Source organism: Homo sapiens, chromosome 3 (assembly GCF_000001405.40).
Source record: "Homo sapiens chromosome 3, GRCh38.p14 Primary Assembly".
Lineage (NCBI taxonomy): Eukaryota > Metazoa > Chordata > Mammalia > Primates > Hominidae > Homo > Homo sapiens.
Window position 1 is genome coordinate 123,211,504 of NC_000003.12, and position 25,760 is coordinate 123,237,263.

Consider the following 25,760-nt stretch of genomic DNA (forward strand, 5'->3'; position numbering starts at 1 on the left):
GGCTGGAATGCAGTGGCATGATGACAGCTCACTGAGCCTCAACCTCTTGGACTCAAGTGATCCTCCCACTTCAGCCTCTTGAGTAGCTGGGACTACAGGTGCACACCACCACACCCAGCTAATTTTTTTATTTTTAGTAGGGATGAGGTCTCACCATGTTGCCTAGGTTGACCTCAAACACCTGGGCTCAAGTGATCCTCCTGCTTGGCCTCCCAAAGTACTGGGATTACAGACATGAGCCACTGCACCTGGCCCACTTTAATTATTTAACTTGAGGTTTTAGGCCAAGCACAGTGGCTCACACCTGTAATCTCAGCACTTTGAGAGGCCGAGGCAGGCAGATCACTTGAGCCCAGGAGTTTGAGATCAGCATGGGCAACATGGGGAGACCCTGTCTCTACAAAAAACTAAAAAATTAGCCAGGCGTGACATAGTCCCAGCTACTGTGGCGACATACGTGGGAGGATCGCTTGAGCCTAGGAGGTTGAGGCTGCAGTGAGCCATGATCTCACCCCTGCATTCCAGGGTGACAGAGCAAGACCCTGTCTCAAAAAATATATATAAATAAAATAAATAAATTGAGGTTTTGACAAGGTAGTTCAGTGGAGATGGGATAGAGATTTTGGAATCATTCACGTAGATGTGGTTGATATTGTGAGGGGAGAAGTGCCTACTGGGTTTAGAGAGAGGGCCCAGGTTAGAACCTTGGAGAATGTCCACAATTTCTTAGATCACCTGGATAATGGTAAGATGTTATATTTAATTGGGGTTTCTGAGGGTTTAATTAGAAAATATTGTGATTATGGTGATTAAAATATATGTAAAATGATGTCTCAACCTACTTCTATTTTTTTAGAGGAAAAACTTGAAATATTTCAATATTTTATTTAATAGGCTCTGTTAGTGTCCTGGGTCATTATTCTGAGTTTTATTTGTGAATGTATAGTGGTATAAACAAATATCAAAGTTTTAGGAGATTGGCTTGAATGTATATTAATTCTGGTAGGTGTGCTGGACTTAAACTTTTGCAATTTTTTTTCTTTTGACTCTCTTTTAAAATTAAAAAAATTTATTTTGACTTTTCTTAAAAGTAAAGTAAAATGTAACGTTTTAACATCCCTTCATTCTATTTAACTGAAAATTCTAGATTTTGTATCATTTAGTTTTAGTTAGTTGTACTCCAGCTTATTCCACACAAAGGATTTGAGGCAATTTAGGAAAAAAAAAATTCAAGGGGCCAAGTAAGGGAGTCAAAAGAAGGAAAATAGAGATAGGAGAATAATAAACTGAGGTAACATTTCCTTCTGGAGATGCAAACTAGATAGTCCATCCATTTGTTAGAAAAAGGTTGCAGATATTACCGTTGAGTTTCCTTGTGGCCAAAGCAAAGGGGGTAATCCATAGGATTTAGTGTCCATTGGATAAAAACATTGTTTTTCCTGTTATTGAGACCAGAAGTACATAAAGAGGACAGCATTTGGATAACATTCTTCCAGCAACTATAATTATGAGAGTTTAGGAGTGGGATAAATCAGCAGAAGTCTAATCTGGTCTAGTTCAAGAATACAATTCAGATAAATGCATTTCAGAGCCATGCATAGAAAAATGTCTATGCATGTTTTTTTGTACCAAACCTTCAATAAGGATTGGAAAACAGAAGTTCTAGTTCTAGTTCCTGACAAGGACCTGGATTTCATATGTTTTCTATCATTGATAAGAGATCTTGTGGTTTAGTTTCTGTTTAATGAGGTTGTTACCTTATATGACATTGAGCTTAGACTGAAATGCGTAAAATTGAGAATTTGTGTGTGTTACCTGACTTAAAATTCTCACACCACAACTGTTTTTCTAACAACTATGAGTTTGCTAGATAAAACTCACAGGTCTGCTGTAGCAACATCATAGCACAGCCTGAAATTGCCACCATGCTGTCCCTCTTTTCTCCTAGCCATATTAAATGCTTCTTTCCTTCAAACCCTACTTCTTTTGAATCACCTTCTTTCTCATTACTATTTTATGTCTCTAATGATCTCACTCCTTTCACAGATCACCTGTAGAACTCGGTTGACTGCCTTTTTCATCACTTATTAAAATTTCTTATTTTTAATTTAATTTTATTTCTCCATCCTCTCTTTATAACAGGGTTGTAACTCATTGAGGGAATTGATCTGCCATGGCTTATACTATTTTTGATTCCTCAACTCTTGGCATTGTGGTTTTCAAATTTGTGTAGAAATTGAGATACTCTTTCTTTACAGAATCTCAAAATCACTAAGTATATAATTATGTGCCAAATCAGTTGATACCTCACATTAAATTCTAGTTGAATAGGCAAGGGAAGACCAGAGTTTGAAGGAAAAAAAAATCAGGGGAGTAACATTTAAAATTGAGATAATTAGGCTGGGTCTGGTGGCTCACGCCTGTAATCCCAGCACTTTGGGAGGCCAAGGCTGGCAGATCACCTGAGGTCAGGAGTTTGAGACCATCCTGGACAACATGGTGAAACCCTGTCTCTACTAAAAATAAAAAAAATAAAAAATAAAAAGCCGGGTGTGGTGATGGACATCTCTAATCCAAGCTACTCAGGAGGCTGAGGCAAGAGAATCACTTGAACCCAGGAAGCGGAGGCTGCAGTGAGCTGAGATCGTGCCACTGCACTCCAGCCTGGGCAACAGAGTGAGACTCTGCCTCAAAATAAATAAATAAATAAAATTTAAAAATAAAATAAAATTGAGAAAATTCCTTTAGTTTTCTTCTCCTCTGTATTGGGAAAATGATGAATTTCAAATGAATGTAGTAGCTGGATACTTCTGTTTCGCCAATGAAGGACATTCTGTGGAGCATGGCTTGTGCTAGCACAGTTCCTTGTGCATGTCGTAGTAGCTACTAAATGAGGGATGGTTGTTTTAGGAATATGACAGCATTCAGAGTGCCAGAGAAACCTTGTTGATTGGGCAGGATGGTGTGTAGTGTGGGGTGTTCAGTTTTGTGATTTCTTCTCACATTCTATAGTGATATTCCAATTCTCTCTATATAAAATTTTAAGGAATTCATCTGTTTTATAAGTCGAAGGGTACTTTCCTTAGACTGTAATGAATTTTTAATGAATAAACTTATGTTACCACTTAAGAAAAAAACATGGCTAAAGTAAGTATGAACCATATGGAAATTAGGTTGGGTCATCTGAGATCTTTAAAACTTTGCAGTTGGCTTTAGAGATTTAAAAATCATAGTTGTACATTTTGAAATCTCTTTATTTAAACAGTAAGATGCTGAAAAGACAAATACCTTTTGGGAAGCCAATCATATCCTATTGTGAATTTTAGTGCAAGAAGTAAAATTTTTTAGTTCTTTCACTGTGAATTCATTTGAAGCCGTATAATCGCTGTGAGCCTCCTAATGTTTTTTCCTTGCCTGAGGGTTCACTTTCTCCCTACACTGCTACCTCCAGCCAGGAATACTGTTTTAGGCTTACCTGCATTTTGGCTTTAGTGTCTAGCAGTGTTTCCCTTTCACTCTTTCGGGAAATTTTCTGATTACTAGAGTAACAACTTAAACTATAACCCAATTATTGAGTACTTGCTATTGCCAGGTACTTTACTGACATTATCATTAAGCTTTCTAACAGCTCTGTGAAGGGCTATTAAATAGAGCTCTTTTCCATTGCCAGGGGCAGACACACAACTCACATTAGCTTAAGGAAAAATGGGTATTTTGAAGGGTAGTGGTGGAGCTGGCTTCACAGATGTTATCAGGAATCTTTCTCATTTCTACAGTCTCTCACCTTTTGCAGATAGATACTCTCTACGACTTGAAAGCACTACACAGACAGCTCCAGGCTTACTTCAGTCCAACTGAGCAACTCCTCTCCATGTCTCAAGAACAAGACATTGTCTTTGCTTGTATAATTGACCATTTCTAGACTGATTAATCATTGTAGTCAGAGGGGATGAGGTACTCTTATTTGGCTAAGACTGCATCACATGTCCTTACCCCTTTGAGCTTTACCAAAGCCATACAGAATGGCGCTGAAGGTAATTCCCCAAAGGGAAAGAGGGAAGGGATGCTGGGCAGGTAGATGCTGGGTAGTGCTATCACTACCCTATTTTACAGATAAGGTAAATGAGACTTAGGAATGTAAAGGAGCTCCTTCAACGTCACAAAAATAGTAAATGATATATATGAACCACAATCTTTTGGATTCAGGCATCGCATTATTATCTGGTAAAAAATGGCTGCTGCTCTTTACCCTTAACCCCTTTCTTGGCAGCATGTGTTCCTAATTCTCCCAATTCTTTTCACTTTTTATGGAGAGAGAAATGAACCAGGGAAGAGAATGAAGGGAAATACCACCCCCCTCTTTTTTTGGTCAATAATAATGAGGAACAGAGTATGTGTGAATCCTAAAATTGATGGGACAGCATTGTCTCATTGTAGACTAGGTGTTTGGCAGGGAGAGGGTGTGGCAGGGAAATGCAACCAACCTATAACTACTAAACCAGTTGGGGGAAGGAGATAACCTGGGTATTCAATTTTCCTATTTTGTCTCATTACTAGTATCACATTCCTTTTCTCCTGCTTATTATGGCAAAATGTACAGCTTTTCAGCACCATGTATGTTAAATAGGCTCTTGTGAACTGGCCTAGGAACCTAATTACTGTTATAGTACAGTTTCTGTGGGAAAATGAGATCTAGATGCAATAAGCTTTGGGAAATATACCCAATATGTAAGTTAGGGATTATCTGATCAGTTATCTAAAAAAGTCAGGATCTTCATTCTCTGGAGTGTGGCTGTGTTAGGGAAGTGAGAAAGGGTGAATTGGGAGATTAACTCTGAAGAAAAGGAAATAAAGATGTCAAAGGCAAACTTTGCTTGTTCTGTGTTTTATCCAAGTCTCTCATGGTGTAATTACCATTGACTTCTTAAAATGATCTCAGATTCTCCTTTAGGTTACTGTTGTAAGTTACCATCATCTGGCATATTTCATATTAATAAATATTTTCATTTTTAATGATGTTAAAATTTATGGCTAAAATGGGTCTTTTATTCATAGGATGATTTATTCATGATGTGGCGCTTCACCATTGGAGGGTAATTGAAAGTTGGCCATGTAAGAAAGGAGTAAGTGAGAAAATAGAAAGTTCCTGGTAAAATGCTACATGTAATGGACACTCAGTGTTACTGAGCCCTCATTCTTATCTCCTTACTGTTCCACTAGTGGCAGAGTCTTTTGTTTTCATCTTGTTTTCTATGAGACATATTTGGTGATAATACAATTCATAAGATATGCTCACTTTGTTAATGTTGAGCCCCTCTATTCAATATTTTATTTTTATTTTTAGAGATGGGGTTTTGCTCTGTTGCCCAGGCAGGAGTACAGTGGCACAATCAGCTCATAGCACCCTTGAACTCCTGGGTTCACGTGATCCTCCTGCCTCAGCCTCCTGAGTAGCTGTGACTATGGGTGTGCATCACCACACCTGGCTAATTTAAAACAATTTTTTGTAGAGATGGCATCTCACTTTGTTGTCTAGGCTGGTCTCTAACTCCTGGGCTCAAGTAGTCCTTCTGCCTCAGCCTCCCAAAACATTGGGATTACAGGTGTGAGCCGCTGCACCTGGCCCTATTTAATATTTTAAAGTTTCAACACTTTATTTTAGAGAATGGAATTCAATGTGGAAGGCTCTATTCCAAAACATTTTTTTTTTTTGAGATGGAGTCTCGCTCTGTCGCCCAGGCTGGAGTGCAATGGCACGATCTTGGCTCACTGCAAGCTCCGCCTCCTGGGTTCAGGCCATTCTCCTGCCTCAGCCTCCTGAGTGGCTGGGACTACAGGTGCCCGCCACCACACCCGGCTAATTTTTTTTGTATTTTTTTATTTTTTTTTTTAGTGGAGATGGGGTTTCACCGTGTTAGCCAGGATGGTCTTGATCTCCTGACCTCATGATCTGCCCTCCTCGGCCTCCCAAAGTGCTGGGATTACAGGCGTGAGCCACCGCACCCGGCCCAAAACATTTTTTTATACTTGGCAAATTTAACAGTAGATTAGAGATGGTATGTCCTATTAAAGAACTTTTCTGCACCCAGGAAAGCTATTCACTGGGCAAATGTGACTACAAAGGATAAGCAGAGTTTCTATGTATAGTGGCACAATTATAGCATGAAAATTACATGTTATATGTAATACAAATAATATATCAGTTCATAAATCAGTTTGTAATACTAAATCATTTGCTATCTATGTACCTTGTCATTTAGCATGCTACATTTTATGTATATATCTTGGTTTGTAAATCACTGTGATAAGCACATCCCCAGTAGTAGTATGGTAAGCTCCTGGCAGGCAGGGACTATATCTTTGACATCAGAGCCTATGAAGTAGAATGCTGGCCCTATGCTAGGTGTTCTGTCTGCTGAGAGGAAGATATTTGCTATTACTAATTATTTAGTTTGGTGCAACAGGCCAGAATTGTCCTAATAATGTCAGTGTTTAATTGGTGATATGTAAAATTTCTTCGACAGTTTGTAAATCAAATTAGATACTAGAAAAAAGTTTAATGTGTAAAACCATTTATTCATTTTGTTGAACATAGGAATCACTTGTGGAATGGCTTGGACACATTATAGAATTAGCTTTTTAGCAAAGTGATTAGAAGGGGTAAATCTCCTATGTCTGGTATTTGGACTTCTGCCAGTCTTACCTGTTAGGTTATACTTGACCCTAAAGAAGTTCCTAGTGGGTGTGCCAGGGAGGAGAACCAAAAATATAATGAAATTGGATAAATTCCTCAGGTAAAAGAAAAGCAGTACCAGTAAAGACCAAACCCCACTGGCACCAAAGCCCAGAAATGGAATGGAGCTAAACAATATAAAGGAAATTAGAGCAAAGTAGGAAAAAACCTTGGCAATTTAAAAATTGTGCCCAAGATAGAGAAAAGAGGAGAGAGTGTGTGTTTGTATGTGTGTCTGTCTGTGTGTGAGTAATGACAGTGATAAAGGGAGAGCAGACAAGTCTTTGAGACCTGCATAGCCATTCTCGGGGTACTCACTGTGAAGGTGAGTAATTCTACCTGGCTCTTGAGAACATCCCTCTCTTAAGGACATGTCGAAGATTCACTGACCTGAACCCTCAATAAAGCCTTCTGGAGAACAGTAACTAGAAGACAAGTGAAGTTCTACTCTCTTCTGTCATTTAGTCAAGTATTTATTGAGCTGCTGCTTTGTGTAGATACTACTAAGCTGTACAATTACTGGTGCATGATATACTCAACAAATTAGTGTATAAATGAGTAAAGGAATGATGCCACCTTTGCACTCATTTATTTACTGAGCACTTATGGTATACTAGACACAAAATATTCTAAGTGCTAAGAATATAATGGTGAGCAATACAGAAATCATCCCTGCTCTCATGGAGTGTGTATATTAGTGAGAGAGACATTGCAACAAAAATATATTAATATACAATTACAAATTGGGTTAGTTTGTGAAGAAAACTAACAGCTGCTATGATATACTGTAGGAGTGGGATCAGTTTAGATTGTGTGTTCTGGGAAGGACTTTCAGTCTAAGAACTGAAGGATATGTAGGAATTAGCCAGTTCAGAATTGGAGCATTGCAAGTGGGGAAGACAAAATCATGAAGTTTCTCAGTTTGGAAGTGGGAGGGCTGGAAGTGGGTTGGCATCCTTGGGGATCTGAAATAAGGCCAGTGGGTGGCTGGAATGTAGAGAGGGAGGAGTAAAGATGTACAAAATGAAGTGGAGTGTTTGGGAGGGCTTCCAGAAGATAACTGTAATACAGGTTCCAAAACTCAGAAGTTTCATTACTCTTAATTTCGGGAATAAAATAGAGATTGATTTGTGGCTTGGAAAAAGTGAAAAAACATTGGTGAATTAGGGATAATTGGTTAATCTATACTACATGGAAGTTGGTATTGTATTGTGGAAAGAATGTGGGCCTTGGAATCAACTAACTTCATCCTATCTTTGCTTCTTAATGGTGTGTGACCTTGGATAAGTTACTAAGCCTCTCTGAGTTTCTTTTCTTTCATTTGTAAAATGGAGATAATAGTGCCCCTTTATTGAGAGAATGAAACTAAATATGTAAAATACTTAGCAAAGGGCCTAGCTCATACTAAGCGGTCAGTAAACTACGTGGTGCTATTACTCTTACTACTATTTCTCTTCTTTCTCCTCAAGGCAGATAGACATCCGCCAGATTGTCTATAAAATATTAGCTAGGTGAACCTGATGAACACAGCAAAAGCATGCACAAACTGGCATGCCTGTAATGACTTTAGACTATTTTATGAGTAGTCCTCAGTGAAGTGGTGGGAGTATTTCAATCTGTCCCATGATTGTTGAAAAAGCAGAATTTTTTTCATCACAAACATAAATGGAACTGTATATACTTTGGGAAAACTAGCTTTGCATTTCAAATAAAGCATTATAAAACTAAATTTACTATGAAAAGCCATAATGTTATAGAACACACTATAGCCTTTTCAGAGAGAATCTTGCAACTGTAGTAAAATAAAGACTCCCTGAAAATGCTCACATGCCATGTTAAAGACATAGGGTTTCCTTTATTTCACATACAATTGTCTAGTTACATTTAGCACAAGTAAGATAGACCATTTGGGATAAACTGTCATGTAGGTGTCTGTGGCTGACTCTGTTATTAATATGGAAATACAGTAAGACTCTGACATAATACAAAAAATGGGTTCCAAAAACTTCAGTCATATTAATGGAGGATAATCAAATAACTCCTAGCTAGCCAATTGGGAGTTCCTAGGATGTGGAAGCCAATTACCAATTGTCTTCAGGTTATTGAGGTTATTATGGGGTATATTTGAATGCTAATGACATGTCAAAGAACTTTGATAATGACAGTGAAGATTTTTTTTGGAAAGAAAATCATTTGACAAAGCATATTTTGACCTTTGATTTAGATATTAATTTGTAGAAAAAGGCAATATGCTATGGCTAAATTAATTTGATTATGATCCTTAAGAGATACATTTTACTTTGTGAATGCTGTATATACACATATAGGAAACTAAAAAGTTTTATGAAACAATATTCCAATATTTTCTGTTATATTTTATTTCAATTTCTGGAAAATGCTGTAGTTCACTAAACTAGTTTTATGACATAGTGGTTTACAACTTGCACTTTGAAAAACATTGCACTAAATGACTGTGTATTAAGTGATGCTTCAGAAAGGAACAACCAGGTTACTCTAGAACCATAAGATCAGCACTATTTCACCACTAGTATATCCCATACCACTAGTAATAGACGACTAGTAGGTGGCAAGCCCATTTGGCTGCCTAGGATGGTCTTTAAAAAAGGTCTCATATATATATATACATATATATATATATATGTCACATGTATATATTCACACACATATTTACTTACAAGCTCTCACAGGAAGGATACATAAGAAATTATTACTAACCTGAATTGCCCAAGGGAAGGAGAACTGGGTATCTGGGCAAGAGTGATAAGACACTTTAAGTGCAGTATACCCTTTTATTTTTCATTCTTGTTAAATTTGAATCCTGTGAACATATTTATTCTAAACATTAATAAATTCTGCTTCTATGTTATTCGAGAAAGAAAATAGTAAGGTGACCAGTATGGATCAGAATTTTACAGTAAAAATTACTGTGTAGGCCGGGCGTGGTGACTTAGACCTGTAATCCCACCACTTTGGGAGGCCAAGGTGGGCAGATCACTTGAGGTCAGGAATTTGAGACCACCCTGGTCAACATGGTAAAACCCCATCTCTACTAAAAATATAAAAATTAGCCAGGTGTGGTGGTGTGTGCCTGTAATCCCAGCTACTCAGGAGGCTGAGACAGGAGAATCGCTTGAACCCGGGAGGCGGAGGTTGCAGTGAGCCGAGATTGTGCCACTGCACTCCAGCCTGGGTGACAGAGCAAGAGTCCATCTCAAAAAAAAAAAAAAAAAAAAAAAAGATTACTGTGTAGTTTAGCAGAGTCCAGCATAGGAGTGGTGAATTACATCCTGCATGCTGTTTACTGCCCCTGATCTAGACCAGCTATATTGACAGTGCTATGCAATGATGTTTAGGTGACTCATTAAAAAGGGTTACTTTGTGTTTTGTGCTCTGCTTATTTATTATAGTGGGGTATATACTAGATTCTAGAAAGCTTTTTTTCCAATAGAATATGGTTAATTTTCATGTTTCAGTGCTTATTTTTTCATTTTTAATTTCTGAATTTATTTAGAAGTAATTTCAAACTTACAGAAAAGTTGTATGAATAAGAAAAGTTCAAATAACACCTGTTCCCATAGTCACCTTTGGTCAACATTTTACCACATTTGTTTTCTCATTTTATCTACCTACCTACTTAACTATCTGATTTATTTTTTTTTTCCTGAACCATTTGAGAGAAACTTATAAATACCATGCCCCTTTCTTCATAACTACTTCAGAGTATATTTTCTAAAATTAGGGATATTCTCTTACTTAACCACAGTACACATATCAGCCTCAGTAAATTTAATGTTCCTACCATACTTTATCTACTCTACTGCCAACTTTCCTTTTTTTGTCGGTTGACCCAGGAATATGCTTTATAGCATTTTTTTTTTTTTATTGCTTTTTGGCACAGGATTTGGACTAGTGTTAGGTATTGTATTTAGTCGTCATATCTCTTTAGCTTCTTTTTTTTTAGACAGAGTCTCTCTCTTGTCACCCAGGCTGGAGTGCAATGGCGCAATCTCGGCTCTTTGCAACCTCCACCTCCTGGGTTCAAACGATTCTCCTGCCTCAGCCTCCTGAATAGCTGGGATTACAGGCATGCACCACCATGCCCAGTTAATTTTTGTATTTTTAGTAGAGACGGGGTTTCACCATGTTGGCCAGGCTGGTCTCAAGTTCCTGACCTCAGATGATCCGCCCACCTCGGCCTCCCAAAGTGCTGGGATTACAGGCCCCCACCATGCCCGGCCTCTTTAGCTTCTTTTGATTGGCAACATTTCCACATCCTTTATTTCTTTTTTACAACCCTGGCACTTTTAAAGAATACACTTTTTCCTTTTCAAAAATAGAATGTTGATCATTTTGGTGTTTTCTTAATGATTAAATTCAAATTATGCATTCTCAGAATATTATATAGCTGATGTGTCTTTCTCAGGATATAACATCTGGAGACACACAATGTCCATCTAACATGAATGATGTTAGAGAGTACTTGGTGAAGGAGTTACCTAGTTTCTACTGTATAATATTTTCCCCTTGCAACTAAGAAACAATCCATGGAAAGACATTTTAAAACCATGCAAATATACTAACCCGTAAAAATTTCCCCCTAGATTTAACATCCATGATTGTCCTTGCCTGATCCAATCTTTACTATGTTGGTTGCAAAATGCTGATTTTTCCATTGCTAGCACTTCCTCTACGTTTACCAGTCAACACTCAGCATTCTGCTTTAAGCCATAGCCCTCATTTCTCCTTTTGTTTTTTATATAAACTCATAAATTCCCCCCTCCCATGGTTCATAATTAATTACTGTGTAAAGTAGAGGATTTGATTCTGGGGTGTGTCAATGATAACTTCAAGAGGTCAGTGATCACCTTGAAATTGTGTGCAATCTTCTGTGTTCTGGCATCTTTCTAGGGAGAGTGTTCCTGTCATCAGAATCTTGAAAGGGTTCTGGACTCAAAAGTGGAAAACATATTGAAGGGTTAGACTTTAAGCTATCTGTAATACTTACAATACATTTGTATATCCATTCCCCTGCTTTTTACCCCAAGTGATAACTGAAATGTTAGAACCGTATTGTGTGTCCCTCTGTAGTACATTCTATTTTTTGTCTTCTGTTTTTAAACCACAACTTAAAATAGTGCTGTATTTTGGTTCCTTTAAATTTTTTCCTAGAATATATAATAAATGTTAAGATCTTCATTGCCACCGTAGTAGCAGTTTATGGTGTATAGAACCAGTCTTGTGAAGCAGTGAATTACCTTGATTTAATTTGAAATTTTAAAACCAATGTTTTTTACACTGTAGTTTTATTAGCTCTCTGGGAGTGAGCTACATGATGTTGTGCACTGAAAATTACCCAAATGTTCTCGCCTTCTCTTTCCTGGATGAGCTTCAGAAGGAGTTCATTACTACTTATAACATGATGAAGACAAATACTGCTGTCAGACCATACTGTTTCATTGAATTTGGTAAGGGCCTGATTTTTTTTTCCTTTTTATTCTGTCTGCATCCAATCATAAGCAATTTTAAATCTAATATTGGGTGGAGGGGGGACTTCTGCTATCTTGCTTTTGATATAATAATTTGGTAAATGATCTATAAATTATGGTAACTTTTTACTTAGATGCTTATTAGAAAAAAATTGTGTTTGAGCTGTGAAGGGGATTGTGAGTATTGGTCCGAAGAATTAATGCCAGAGGATAACTTCTCAATGAGAAATTTATAAGCCAGAGATTCAGACTTTTGCGTTTCTGTAATAATCTTTTATAGTCTGCTTCATGTAGAATAGGGGATGGCAAACATTTGCTGGAAAGGACCAGATAGTACATATTTTAGACTTTAAGGATCATATAGTCCCTGTCACAACTATTCAGCCCTGCCGTTGTAGCTCGAAAGCAGCCATAGGCAGTACGTAAATGAGTGCAGTTATATTCTAATAAAACTTTACAGAATAGTCAGCAGGCTAGATTTGGCCTGTGGGCAGTAGTTTGCTCAACTTCTGATGTAGAAGAAAAAAAAAAAACACCATGTTGTAAATAGTAAAAATAAAATTCCACTTGGAAAATATTTAGGAAATGTCTTATGTTAGTTTTATTCAATTTATTCTTTAAAACCTACATTCTAATGGTGTAAGCAATAAAAAACAGATTTATAAAAACATGCAACTTCTAGTGTGTGTTCTTATGTAATTGCAGCTGGTAAATCTGACAGATTTAATATTTCATGAGATAGGAATCTCTATAAAAATCAAGACTTTGGGCCAGGTGTGGTGTGGCTCATGCCTTTTATCCCAGCACTTTGGGAGGCCGAGGCAGTAGGATCACTTAAGGCCAGGAGTTCGAGACCACCCTGGGCAACATAGACCCTGTCTGTACAAAAATAAATAAATAAACTGGGCATGGTGGCTCACACCAGTAGCCCCAGCTGCTTGGGAGACTGAGGCAGAAGGATCACTTGAGCACAGGAGTTTGAGGTTACAGTGAGCTATGATTGTACCACTGCACCCCAGTCTAGGTGACAGAGCAAGACCCTGTCTCAAAAAAAAAAATTCAAGACTTTGGTTTAAAGTTAAAGCTGTTTTTTGTTTTTGTAATTTCTTGAAGTGGATGTAATACACTTAGGTAGTGTTAAATCCTTAGTTTATTTAAAATTACTGATTTCTAGAGGGTAAAACTGATGATTCCATGATACATTAATCATTAAACACAAGTAATATTGGACTATTTCATGACGAATTGAACAATTTTGAATAATAAACTACCTGTAATATTTACTATCCATAAACATCATATTCTGAAATGATTAATTGACAAGTGACTGCAAGGAAATTTATTTTTTATTTTACATAGATAACTTCATTCAGAGGACCAAGCAGCGATATAATAATCCCAGGTCTCTTTCAACAAAGATAAATCTTTCTGACATGCAGACGGAAATCAAGCTGAGGCCTCCTTATCAAATTTCCATGTGCGAACTGGGGTCAGCCAATGGAGTCACATCAGCATTTTCTGTTGACTGTAAAGGTGCTGGTAAGATTTCTTCTGGTGAGTTCTGGATCTCAGTTATTTTATTTTAAAAAAATCCTTGGGAAAAACTGAGAAACTCTTGAAAATGAATTACTTTATTCTAATATTTTAAATCAAGTACATGAGAGAATATAGAAGTTCAAAGCAATCCTTTCAGTGATTTATAAAGTAAGCTACCAGATGTGTGACTAATCGGGAAAATACTTTCAAATAGCAACCTCAGAGGATCTCTTTGCTAGAAAAACATTTTTTTAAATTTAAAATTAAAAAAAGTTAATTTTCATGGGTACATATTCGGTGTGTAATATATTTATGGGGTACATGAGATATTTTGATACAGGTATGCAATGTGTAATAATCACATTAGGGTAAATGGGGTATTCATCACCTCAAGCATTTATTATTTCTTTGTGTTATAAACATGTCAGTTGTGCTCTGTTAATTTTTAAATGTACAATAAATTATTGTTGACTGTAGTCACCCTATTGTGGTATCAAGTACTAAATCTTATTCATTTTAGCTAACTATATTATGTACCCATTAACCATCACCCTTTCTCCCACCCCCACTACCCTTCCCATCCTCCAGTAACCAAAATTCTACTCTCTTATCTCCATGAGTTCAGTTGTTTTAAACTTTAGCTCCCACAAATGAGTGAGAATATGTAAACTTTTCTTTTCTGTGTCTAGTTTATTTCAGTTAATAAAATGTCCTCCAGTTCATCCGTGCTGTTGCAAATGATAGGATCTCATTCTTTTTTTATGGCTGAATAATACTCTGTTGTGTATGTGTGCCACATTTTGTTAATCCGTTTGTCTGATGATGGGCACTTAGGTTGCTTCCAGGTCTTACCTGTTGTGAATATACTGCAGTAAACATGAGAATGCAGATGTCTCTTCGATATGCTGATTTCCTTTCTTTTGGGTATATAGCTAGCAGTGGGGTTGCTGGATTATATGATAGTTCTCTTTTTAGTTTTTGAGGAACCTCAAAACTACTACTGTTCTCCATAGTGGTTGTACTAATTTACATCCCCACCAACAGTGTTCCCTTTCTTCCACGTCATCACCAGCATTCATTATTGCCTGTCTTTTGGATAAAACCCAGTTTAACTGAGGTGAAATGATGTCTCGTTGTAGTTTTGTTTTGCATTTCTCTGATGATCGGTGATGTTGAGCACCTTTTCATATACCTGTTTACCATTTGTATGTCTCTTTTGAGAAATGTCTATTCAGATCTTTTGCCCATTTTTTAATTGGCTTGTTAGATTTTTTCATATAGAGTTGTTTGAGCTCATTGTGTATTCTAGTTATTAATCCCTTGTCAGATGAATATAGGGATTCACATTCCCTTCTCAGTTTGCAAATATTTTCTATCATTCTGTGGGTTGTCTCTTCACTTTGTTGTTTCCTTTGCTGAGCAGAAGCTTTTAAACTCAATATAATGCAATTTGTCCACTTTTGCATTGGTTGCCTGTACTTGTGGGGTATTACTCAAGAGATCTTTGCCCAGGCCAATGTCCTGGAGAGTTTCCCCAATGTTATCTTTTAGTAACTTCATGGTTTGAGGTCTTAGATTTAAGTCTAATCCATTTTGATTTGATCTTTGTATATGGCTAGGAAAACATTTAAGGTTTCTTTGTAAACATTTTTCTAGAAATGAAAAATAGGTTCTTTGTACTGCATATTTATAGGCATGTAAAGTGCTTTGCATTTTGTTAAAATGGCTACATTCAAGGCCAGTGTTCTTGACTGTCACGGAAGGTGTAAATACTTTAGTGATCGTCTGCTCAAACCTCCCATCCCAAAGAAGGAATACTATCGTCAACAGTTGTGAAATGATATAAACTTTTGCTTAAAATGAACACCTCATTATTTTATAAGGTAGCATATGCCATTGTCAGACTATTTGTTTAAGAAAATTATTCCAACCTAAGGCTTTAGGAAAAAAAAAAAACTTCCTTATATAATTGAGCTAAAGTCAGCTTCCCTATGTCTACTAGTTTGTTTTGTGATCTGTTCCTCCCTTCCTTCAGCAGAACCAGAATAACAGTTAAGTCAGCAACTGTGTGTCCTTTCCATCCTCTTAGACTAGTCTACTTCATATAAATATCTCCAATTCACCAATGAGAACACATGGACACAGGGAGGGGAACATCACACACGGGGGCCTGTCAAGGGGTTGGGGGCAAGGGGAGGGATAGCATTAGGAGAAATACCTAATATAGATGATGGGTTGATGGATGTGGCAAACCACCATGGCACATGTATACTTATGTAACAAACCTGCACGTTTTGCACATGTATCTCAGAACTTAAAGTATAATAAAAAAAGAAATAAAAATGTAAGACAATATCAACTATAGAATACAAAGCAAACACATTTATCATTGTATATTGACAAAGGGCAAAATTTTCAATTAAACTGCAACAAACATGCACCTTTTTGAATCACGAGGTCAGGAGTTCAAGACCAGCCTGGCCAAGATGGTGAAACCCTGTCTCTACTAAAAATACAAAAATTAGCTGAGTGTGGTGGCAGGCACCTGTAATCCCAGTTACTCGGGAGACTGAGGCAGAGAATTGCTTGAATCCAGGAGGCAGAGGTTGCAATGAGCTGAGATCGTACCACTGCACTCCAGCCTGGGTGACAAAGCGAGCTCCATCAGAAAAAAAAAAAAAAAACTCCAGTTCACTTAGCCTTTTCATTTATGGCATTTCAAGTTCTCCCCATCCTAGAAGCTTCCTCTAGACATGCTTTAGTTTGTTAATATTCTTTAAATTTGGACTGAATACAACACTTCACATACAAATGTGGGAGAAGAGGGTAACAAATTTCATTAAAATAATCCAGTCAGTTAGTAAACAAGCAGATAACAATAACAAGCCCAGTTGGTCAGGGGTGGTAGGGGGAGAGTGGGCTAGTACCCACATTGTTACAATATGTTATCTAAAATGTCCAATTTCCAGTAAATTATAAGACATGCAAAGAAACAGGAAAATATGGCCAGGTGTGGAGGCTCACACCTATAATCCCAGCATTTGGGAGGCCAAGGCGGGCGGATCTCCTGGGGTTGGGAGTTCACGACCAGCCTGACCAACATGGAGAAATCCCGTCTCTACTAAAAAAAAAAAAAAAAAAAAAAATTAGTTGGGCAGGGTGGCACATGCCTGTAATCCCAGCTACACGAGAGGCTGAGGCAGGGGAATTGCTTGAACCCAGGAGGCGGAGGTGGCAGTGAGCTGAGATTGCACCATTGCACTCTAGCCTGGGCAACGAGAGCGAAAACTCCATCTCAAAAAAAAAAAAAAAAAAGAAAGAAAATATGACCCACACACTGTGGGCATGGGGTAGAGGGGACAGAATGTAGGTAACAGAAACTGCCTCTGAGAGCAATCAGCTGTCAGATTTAACAGACAGAGGCTTCAAAGTAGTCATTATAATCATGTTCAAAGACTAAAGGAAACTATTAAAGGAGTAAAGGGGGAGGTATGATAATGTTGCATCAAATAGACAATACCAATAAAGAGAAATTATTTTTAAAAAACACAGTGGAAATTCTGGAATTAAGTAAAATTACTAAAATGAAAAATTCACTAGAAGGGCGTAACAATAGATTTGAACTGGCAGAAGAGTTAGCAATTTGAAGATAGATTGATAGAGATTATCTAATCTGAAAAACAGAAAAAAGAATGAAGAAAAATGAATGGAACCTCAAAAAAATGGGGCATGCTAACATAGGTGTGATAGGATACCGAAGAAGAAGGGGGAGAAAAAGCAGAAAAAATATTTGAGGAAATAATGGCTGAAAAGTTCCCAGATTTACTGAAGAACATTAGTCTGCTCTTGCAGGAAGCTCAGTGAACTCCAAATGGGATACACACGAGATCCACAAATAGATGAATCATAGTAAAATGCTGAAAACTAAAGACAAGGAGAAAGTCTTGAAATCAGCAAGAGAAAAAGAACTTGTCACTTACATGAGTTTACCTGTATAACAAACCTGTCCCTGAACCTAAAATAAAAGTTAAAAGGAAACCAAAACTCATCACTTACAGTGAACCTCAATAAGATTAACAGCTGACTTCTTAGCAGAACCAATAGAGACTAGTAGGCAATGGAATGACATACAAATTGCTGAAAGAAAGAAAATAAAAACTACCAGTAACCAAGAATCTTATATCTAGCAAAGTTATCTTTTAAAAAAATGAAGGCAAAGTAAAGATATTTACAGATAAATGAAAGATAAGAGAATTCGTTACTAGCAGAAACACCTTATAAGAAATAATAAAGGAAATTCTTGGCTGCATGTTGTGGCTTACGCCTGTAATCCCAACACTTTGGGAGGCTGAGGCGGGCAGATCACGAGGTCAGGAGTTCAAGACCAGCCTGGCCAACATGGTGAAACCCCGTCTCTACCTAAAATACAAAAATTAGCTGAGCATGGTGCCACACGCCTGTAATCCCAGCTACTCAGGAGGCTGAGGCAGGAGAATTGCTTGAACCCGGGAGGCGGAGATTGCCGTGAGCCGAGATCGCGCCACTGTGCTCCAGCCTGGGCAACAGAGCAAGACTTCATCTCAAAAAAAAAAAATAAATAATAATAATAATGGAAATTCTTTAGGATGAAAACAAGTGACCCTAGAAAATAATTTGAATCCATTTGAAAAAAAGCAAAGAACAAGGGTAAATGTAATTAAGTAATTAAAAAAGACAGTAAAGGCCCGGTGTGGTGGCTCATGCCTGTAATCTTAATACTTTGGGAGGCCAAAGTGGGAGGATCCCATGAGCCCAGGAATTTGAGGTTGCAGTGAGGTAGGCTGCCCTCCAGCCTGGGCAGTAGAGCAAGACTCTGACTCGTAAAAATACATTAATGCATTTTTCTTCTACTCTCTACTCTTAACTGATTTAAAAAGTGATCATATAAAACAGTGTATATATAATGTCATTTGGGCCTATAACATATAGAAATGTAATATGTTTTCGCATACAGCAAAAAGGACATGGGTGGTATTAAAGTTGTACTGGGATAAGGAAATTACTCCAGATGATAATTCAAATCAACAGGAACTAATGAAGGAAGCCAGAAAGATAAGATAAATATTAACAAGAGCTATAAACATATAATTACTATCCTTTCTTAGCATTTTTGGAAGACATAAAATTATAGAAGGTCATAATTTATAACAATGCATTATGGAGTTTGTGATGTTTATTGATATGTATAACAGCAATACCACAAAAAGGAGATAAAGGGAATAGAGCTATATAGGAGTAATGTTTCTGTGGCTCATTAGAATATAGTATAAATTCTTGCAGTTAAGATGTACATGGTAAGCTTAGAGCAACCACAAAGCAAATAAAAAGTAGTGAAAAATTATTAAAGTAAAATACCGTACTACCAAATATTCACTTCATGCAAAAAAAAAAAAAAAAAAAAAAGTGAAGGAGGGATAGAGCCAAAAAAGGCATGAGATGGATAAGAAAAAAGGGAAAAAATGGCAGATGTAAATCTATATCAGTAATAATGTTATATATGAATGGATTTAAAAAGTGTTAATATATTAAATAATCCAGTCAAAAGATGGAGATTGTAAGATTGGAGTAAAAATAAAAACACAAGATGCAACTATATGTTGTCTTCAGGAGACATACCTTAGATTCAAATATACAAATAGATTGAAAGTCAAAGGATAAAAAAAGATAAATGAAGAGGAAAAGAGAGCTGGAGTACCAATACTAATATCAGACAAAATGGACTTTACGACAAACATTGGTATGAGAGGTAAAGCATGACATTTTATAATGATAAAAGGGTGAATCAATTAAGATAGAGCTATAAACATACATGCATTTAACAACAGAGCCCCAAAGTACATTAAGTAAAACCTGCCAGAAGTGAATACAGAAATAGACAATTGAACAATGGTAGTTGGAGACTTAAATACACAACTTTCAATCATGGATAGAACAATTAGGCAGAAGATAAGAAAATAGAAGACTTGAACACCTGCACCACCATATGCCAGTGAGACATAACAGACATCTATTAGGATACTCCATTTAACAACAGAATTTATGTTCTTCTCAAGTGCATGTGAACTATTCTCCAGGATAGACCTTATGCTAAGCTAAACAAAACAAAAAGAAAAACAAAACCTTCATAAATTTAAAAGGATAGAAATAGTACAAAGTATGTTCTCCAGCTACATTAGATGAAATTAGAAGTGAAAACAGAAAGAAATTTGGGAAACTCACAAATATGTGGAAGTTAGACAGTACATTCCTAAATAGTGAATGGGTCAGAGACTAAATCAAAAGGGAAATGCGTACTTTGAGATGAATGAAAATGAAGATTCAGCATACCAAAACTTACAGGATGTAGTAGCAAAAGCTAAATTTAGAGGAAAATTTATCGCTGTAAATGCCTATGTTTAAAAAAACAAAAACCAGATTTGAAGACAACTTTCCACTTAAAGATAATGGAAAAAGAAAAGCAAATTAAACCTAAAGCAAACAGAAGGAAGGAAATAACGATTAGAACAGAAACAAATGAAATAGAGGATAGGAAAACAGTAGAGAAAAATCAACAAAACCAAAAGTTGGTTCTTTGAAAAAACTGACAAACCCTTAGCTAGATTGACCCAGAAAATAATTACTCAAATTAGAAATGAAGGGGCCAGGCACGGTGGCTCATGCCTGCAACCCCAACACTTTGGAAGGCTGAGGTGGATGCATCACTTGAAGCCAGGAGTTCAAGACTAGCCTGGCCAACATAGCAAAACCCCATTTCTACTAAAAATACAAAAAATTAGCTGAGCATGGTGGCACGTGCCTGTAATCCGAGCTGCTCAGGAGGCTGAGGACGAGAATTGCTTAAAACGTGGGAGGTGGAGGTTGCAGTGAGCTGAGATCACACCACTGCACTCCACCCTGGGTGATAGAGCGAGGCTCTGTCTAAAAGAAAAAAGAAATGAAAAGGATGGCATTTCTACTGACCTTCTAGAAATAAAAAGGATTATAAAGAATACTATAAACAACTGTCTCCCATTAAATTCAATAACTTTGATGAAATGGATAAATTCCTAGAAAAACACCAACTACTGGTAATGATGCAAGAAGATAATATGAATAGATCTGTAAAAGCAAAAAGATTCAATTAGTAATAAAAACTACCCACAAAGAAAACTCCAGGCCCAGATACATTTACTGGTGATTTTTACCAAACAGTTAATGAAGAGTTAATAACCAGTTATTTACAAACAGTTCCAAAAAAACAGTAAAGGGCCAGATGCTGTGGCTCACACCTGTAATCCCACCACTTTGGGAGGCCGAAGCAGGTAGATGGCTTGAGCTCAGGAGTTCAAGACCAGCCTGGACAATGTAGTGCAACACTGTCTCTACAAAAAATACTTCCGTATTCTGTGAGGCCGGTATCATACTAATACCAAAACCAGGCAAAGTCATCACAAAGAAAGTAAAATGCAGACCAATATATCTTATGAATATGGACACAAAAGTCCTCAGCAAAATACAAGCAAACCCAATCCAGCAACGTATTTAAAAAATTAGGCCAGGCGCTGTGGTTCATGCCTATAATCCCAGCACTTTGGGAGACTGAGGCAGGAGGATCACTTGTGCCCAGGAGTTTGAGACCAGCCTGGACAACATAGGCAGACCCCATCTCTACAAAAAATTTTTAAAAATTAGCGTGATGGTATGCATGTGTAGTCCCGGCAACTCAGGAGGCTGAGGTGGGAGAATCATTTGAGCCCAGGAGTTTGAGGCTGCAGTGAGTAATGATGACACCACTGCACTCCAGCCTGGGTGACAGAGCAAGACCATGTCTCTAAAAGAAAAAATTACAGTTATGTGCTACATAACAACATTTTGTCAGTGATAGACTGAATATATGGTGGTGATTTCAAAAGATTATAATAGCATATTTTTACTGCACCTTTTCTATGTTTAGATACACAAATACTATTGTGTTACAGTAGTCTACAGTAGCCAGTACGATAACATGCTGCACAGGTTTGTAACCCAGGAGCAATAGGCTATACCATATAGCCTAGGTATGTATTAGGGTATACTATCTAGGTTTGTGTAAATACACTCTATGACGTTTGCACAGCAATATCACCTAATGACACATTGTTCAGAATGTATCCCCATTGTTAAAGGATGCATGACCTGCATAAATCCTGACCAAGTGGGATTTATCTCAGGTGTGCAAGGTTGCTTTAACATCCAAAAATCAATTAATGTAATATATTGATAGAATAAGAAATGAAAAACACATGATTATCTCAATACATGCAGAAAAAGCATTTGACAAAATTCAACAGCCTTTCATGGCAAAAAAACAAACAAACAAAAAAAAACACTCAACAAACTAGGAATAGAAGGGAAGTTCCTCAACTTGATAAAAGTCCCTTATGGAAAACCCACAACTAACATTATATCTAATGGTGAAAGACAGGATGCTTTTTCCTAAGATCCAGGGACAAGACAAAGATGTCTGCTTACACTACTTCTAGTCAACATTATACTGGAAGTTCAAGGCACAGCAGGCCGTTGGACAAGGACAATAAATAAAAAGGCATGTAGATTGCAAAGGAAGAAATAAAATAACACCATTCACATATGACGTAATCTTTTATATAGAACATTCTAAGGAATCCACTGAAAAACTATTTGAGAACTAATAAATGAGTTCAGTGAGGTTGCAGGATACAAGATTAATATAAAAAACAATTGTATTCTATACACTAACAATGAACAATCTGAAAATGAAATTAAGAAAACCCTATATACTGAAAACTTTAAAACATAATTGAAAGAAACAACACCTACATTAATGACAAATAGTCTCATGTTCATGGATTGAAAGACAGTATTATTTACATGGTTGTACTTCCCAAATTAATAGAGAGATTCAGCACATTCTTTATAAAAATCCCGGCTTTTTTTGTAGAAATTGACAAGGTGATCCTAAAATTCATATGGAAATGCAAGGGATGGAGCATAGCCAAAATAATCTTGGAAAATCTTGGAAAAGTACAAAGTTGGAGGACTCACACTTCCAAACTTATTACCAACCTACAATTATCATGACTGTGTGGTTCTAGTTTAAGGATAGACACATAGATCAATGGAGTAGAATTGAGAGTACAGAAGTAAACTCACTATGGTTAACTAATTTTCAACAGTGATGCCAAGACAATGGTGAAAGAATAGTCTTTTTGACAAATGGTGCTAGGACAACTAGATACCACATGCAAAAGAATGAAGTTGGACCCCTACCTCAAAAAAAATATATAAATTAATTAAAATGTATCAAAAACTTAACAACAAAACTATAAAACTTTTAGGAGAAAACATACATATAAATCTTTGTATAATCTTATATTAGGTTTTTAAGACTTAACACCAAAATCACAATGAAAAAAGAAAAAATAGGCTGGGCTCAGTGGCTCACGCCTGTAATCCCAGCACTTTGGGAGGCCAAGACAGGCAGATCGCTTGGTCCCATGAGTTCGAGACCAGCCTGGGCAACATGGCGAAACCTCATCTCTACAAAAAATACAAAAATTATCCAGGCGTGGTGGCGCACGCCTGTAGTCCCAGCTACTCGGGAGGCTGAGGTGGGAGGACGGCTTGAGCCTAGGAGGCGGAGGTTACAGTGAGCTGAGATCGTGCCACTGCACTCCAGCCTGGGCAACAGCCAGACCTTGTCTCAAAAAAAAAAAAAAAAATAGATAAGGTGGACATCATCAAAGCTAAAAACTTTTTTGGAGACAAGTTCTTACAATGTTGCCCAGGCTGGTCTCGCACTCGTCGGCTCAAACAATCCTCCCACCTCAGGCTCTAGAGTAGTCTGGATTACAGGCATGTACTACCTCACCCAATTCAAAATTAAAAACTTTGTTCTTCGAACGACACTATTAAGAAAATGAAAAGGCAACCGACACAATGGGAGAAAATACTTGTAAATCATATGTCTGATGAGGAACTAGTATCTAGAATATGTAAATAACTGTTACAACTAAACGATAAAAAGACATAATCCAGTTTAAAAATGGAGAAAGGATTGGACTAGGCATTTTTGCAAAGAAGTTGTACAACTGGACAATTAACACATGAAAAGATGTTCAACGTCATAGTCATTAGGGAAATACAAAGCAAAATTACAAGTAGATGCCACTTCATATGTATTAGGATGGTTAAAATTAAAAAGATAGACAATAACAAGTGTGGATGAGGATATAGAGAAATTGGAATCTCCATACTTTGCCAGTGGGGTTGTAAAATTATGCAGTCACTTTGGAAAACAGTTTGGAAGTTCCTCAAAAAGTTAAAAAGAGTCACCATATGGCCCAGGAATTCTACTCTTAGGTGTACCCCGGAGAAATGCAAACATATGTCCACACAAAAATATGTGTATGAATGTAGCATTATGCAAAATAATTTATGAATAGCAGCATTATTCAAAGCCAAAAAGTGTAGACACCCAACTGTCCATCAGCTGATGAGTGGATAAATAAAATGTGGTATATCCATATAGTGTATTATTATTCAGCCATAAAAAGGAATAAAGTACTGATACATATAACAACATCTGTGAACCTTAAAAACATTATGCTAAATAAAAGAAGTCAATCACAAGAAGGTCACATATTAATCATTCTCTTTATATGGAATGTCCAGAATAGGCAAATCCAGAGAGACAGGAAGTAGATTAATGATTGATGGAGCTAGAGGAATGGAGGGAAATAGGCAGTGACTACTAATAGGTATAAGATTTCTTTTGGGGGTGATGAAAATATGGAATTAGGTATTTATGATTGTTGTACAACTCTGAGTATACGAAAAACTCCTGAATTGTGTGTTTTAAAAGTATTAATTTTATTGAATGTGGATTATATTTCAATTTTTAAAATCACTAATAAGTTCGATTATTACTTTGAAGACTTCCAGCTCTAGTAGTGATGGAGTAGGTAATTCAGACCACTAGTCCCACTGAGTACATGTAGAAAAGCTGAATGAAATGTATATATTCTATAGAATATATATGTCTGATCTAATATAGAATTTAATCAACTATAATCTTCCTGATATCTCTGGAGATCCAACAAGATTACTAAGAATTAGTGGGATGCAGAGGAGGATGGAGGCCCAGAGAGATGAGCCCAGTGTTCAGAGCTACTTTTTCCTTTGGTGCTTTTACCCATTTTGGAGAGCGTCTCTCCAGCTTTGGTTTACTACCTCAGATTTTTGCACCCTAGGAATATGGGTGAACTTAGTTTTGAATCATATTGTTCTCTAAAATTGGAGTGAGGTGATTCCACTGTGCTAATGCTCCAAAGGTCCTGGTAGAAGCAATCAAATATCTTTCTTGGAAGAAGATAGTGTCATAAGCTTCAAATTATGTCTACAACAAGATTTTGAAAATAAAATGTTTGGCAAACAATCATAGATAATTAAGCACCTTAAGAGACTACACTACATGAACATAGACCATAAGAAACACGCACACACACACACACGCACACATATGCACGATCTGATAGAAACAATGAAAGCCAGAAGACAACTTAATGATAACTTTGAAAGGATGAAAGAAAATAACTGCAAATGTAGAATTCTGTGCTTTACAAAATGAATGAAGTGAACAAAAAGAATGAAGTGGCAAGAATAGATATCCTTGTATTTTTGCTGATCCTGGTATTAGCAGCGAAAACTTTCGGTCTCTAGGTTTTGCAGGTCATATGGCCTCTGTTAGTATAACACATGAAAGTAGCCATAGATGTTATATAAAAGAATGAGCGAGGCTGTGTTGCAATAAAACTTTATTTACAAAAATAGATGGTGGGCTAAATTTAGTCTGTGGGTCATAGTTTGCCAGCCTTTGCTGTCTGCTAATCTTTGGCACAAAGTTGACATAGCCTTGTGAAAATATGGTAAATATACTGATATCTTTA

At 36.9% G+C, this 25,760-nt stretch overlaps 1 protein-coding gene across 6 annotated transcripts in view, besides 1 other annotated feature; it reads left to right on the forward strand.

Moving 5' to 3' along the window:
• SEC22A (SEC22 homolog A, vesicle trafficking protein) overlaps positions 1 to 25,760 on the forward strand; it is a 72,194-nt gene that overhangs the window by 9,561 nt on the left and 36,873 nt on the right. For all 6 annotated transcript variants that reach the window (XM_011512675.4, XM_011512676.4, NM_012430.5 and 3 more), the window contains 2 exons: positions 12,056 to 12,219; positions 13,600 to 13,794. In XM_011512675.4, coding sequence (XP_011510977.1) covers positions 12,056 to 12,219; positions 13,600 to 13,794 — 359 coding nt within the window. The remainder of the gene's footprint in view (positions 1 to 12,055; positions 12,220 to 13,599; positions 13,795 to 25,760) is intronic.
• Positions 17,656 to 17,856: a silencer, noted in NCBI's record as "peak4799 fragment used in MPRA reporter construct". NCBI's record gives its function as "represses an SCP1 promoter by STARR-seq MPRAs in K562 erythroleukemia cells {active_cell/tissue: K562}" and the evidence as "EXISTENCE:reporter gene assay evidence [ECO:0000049][PMID:32103011]".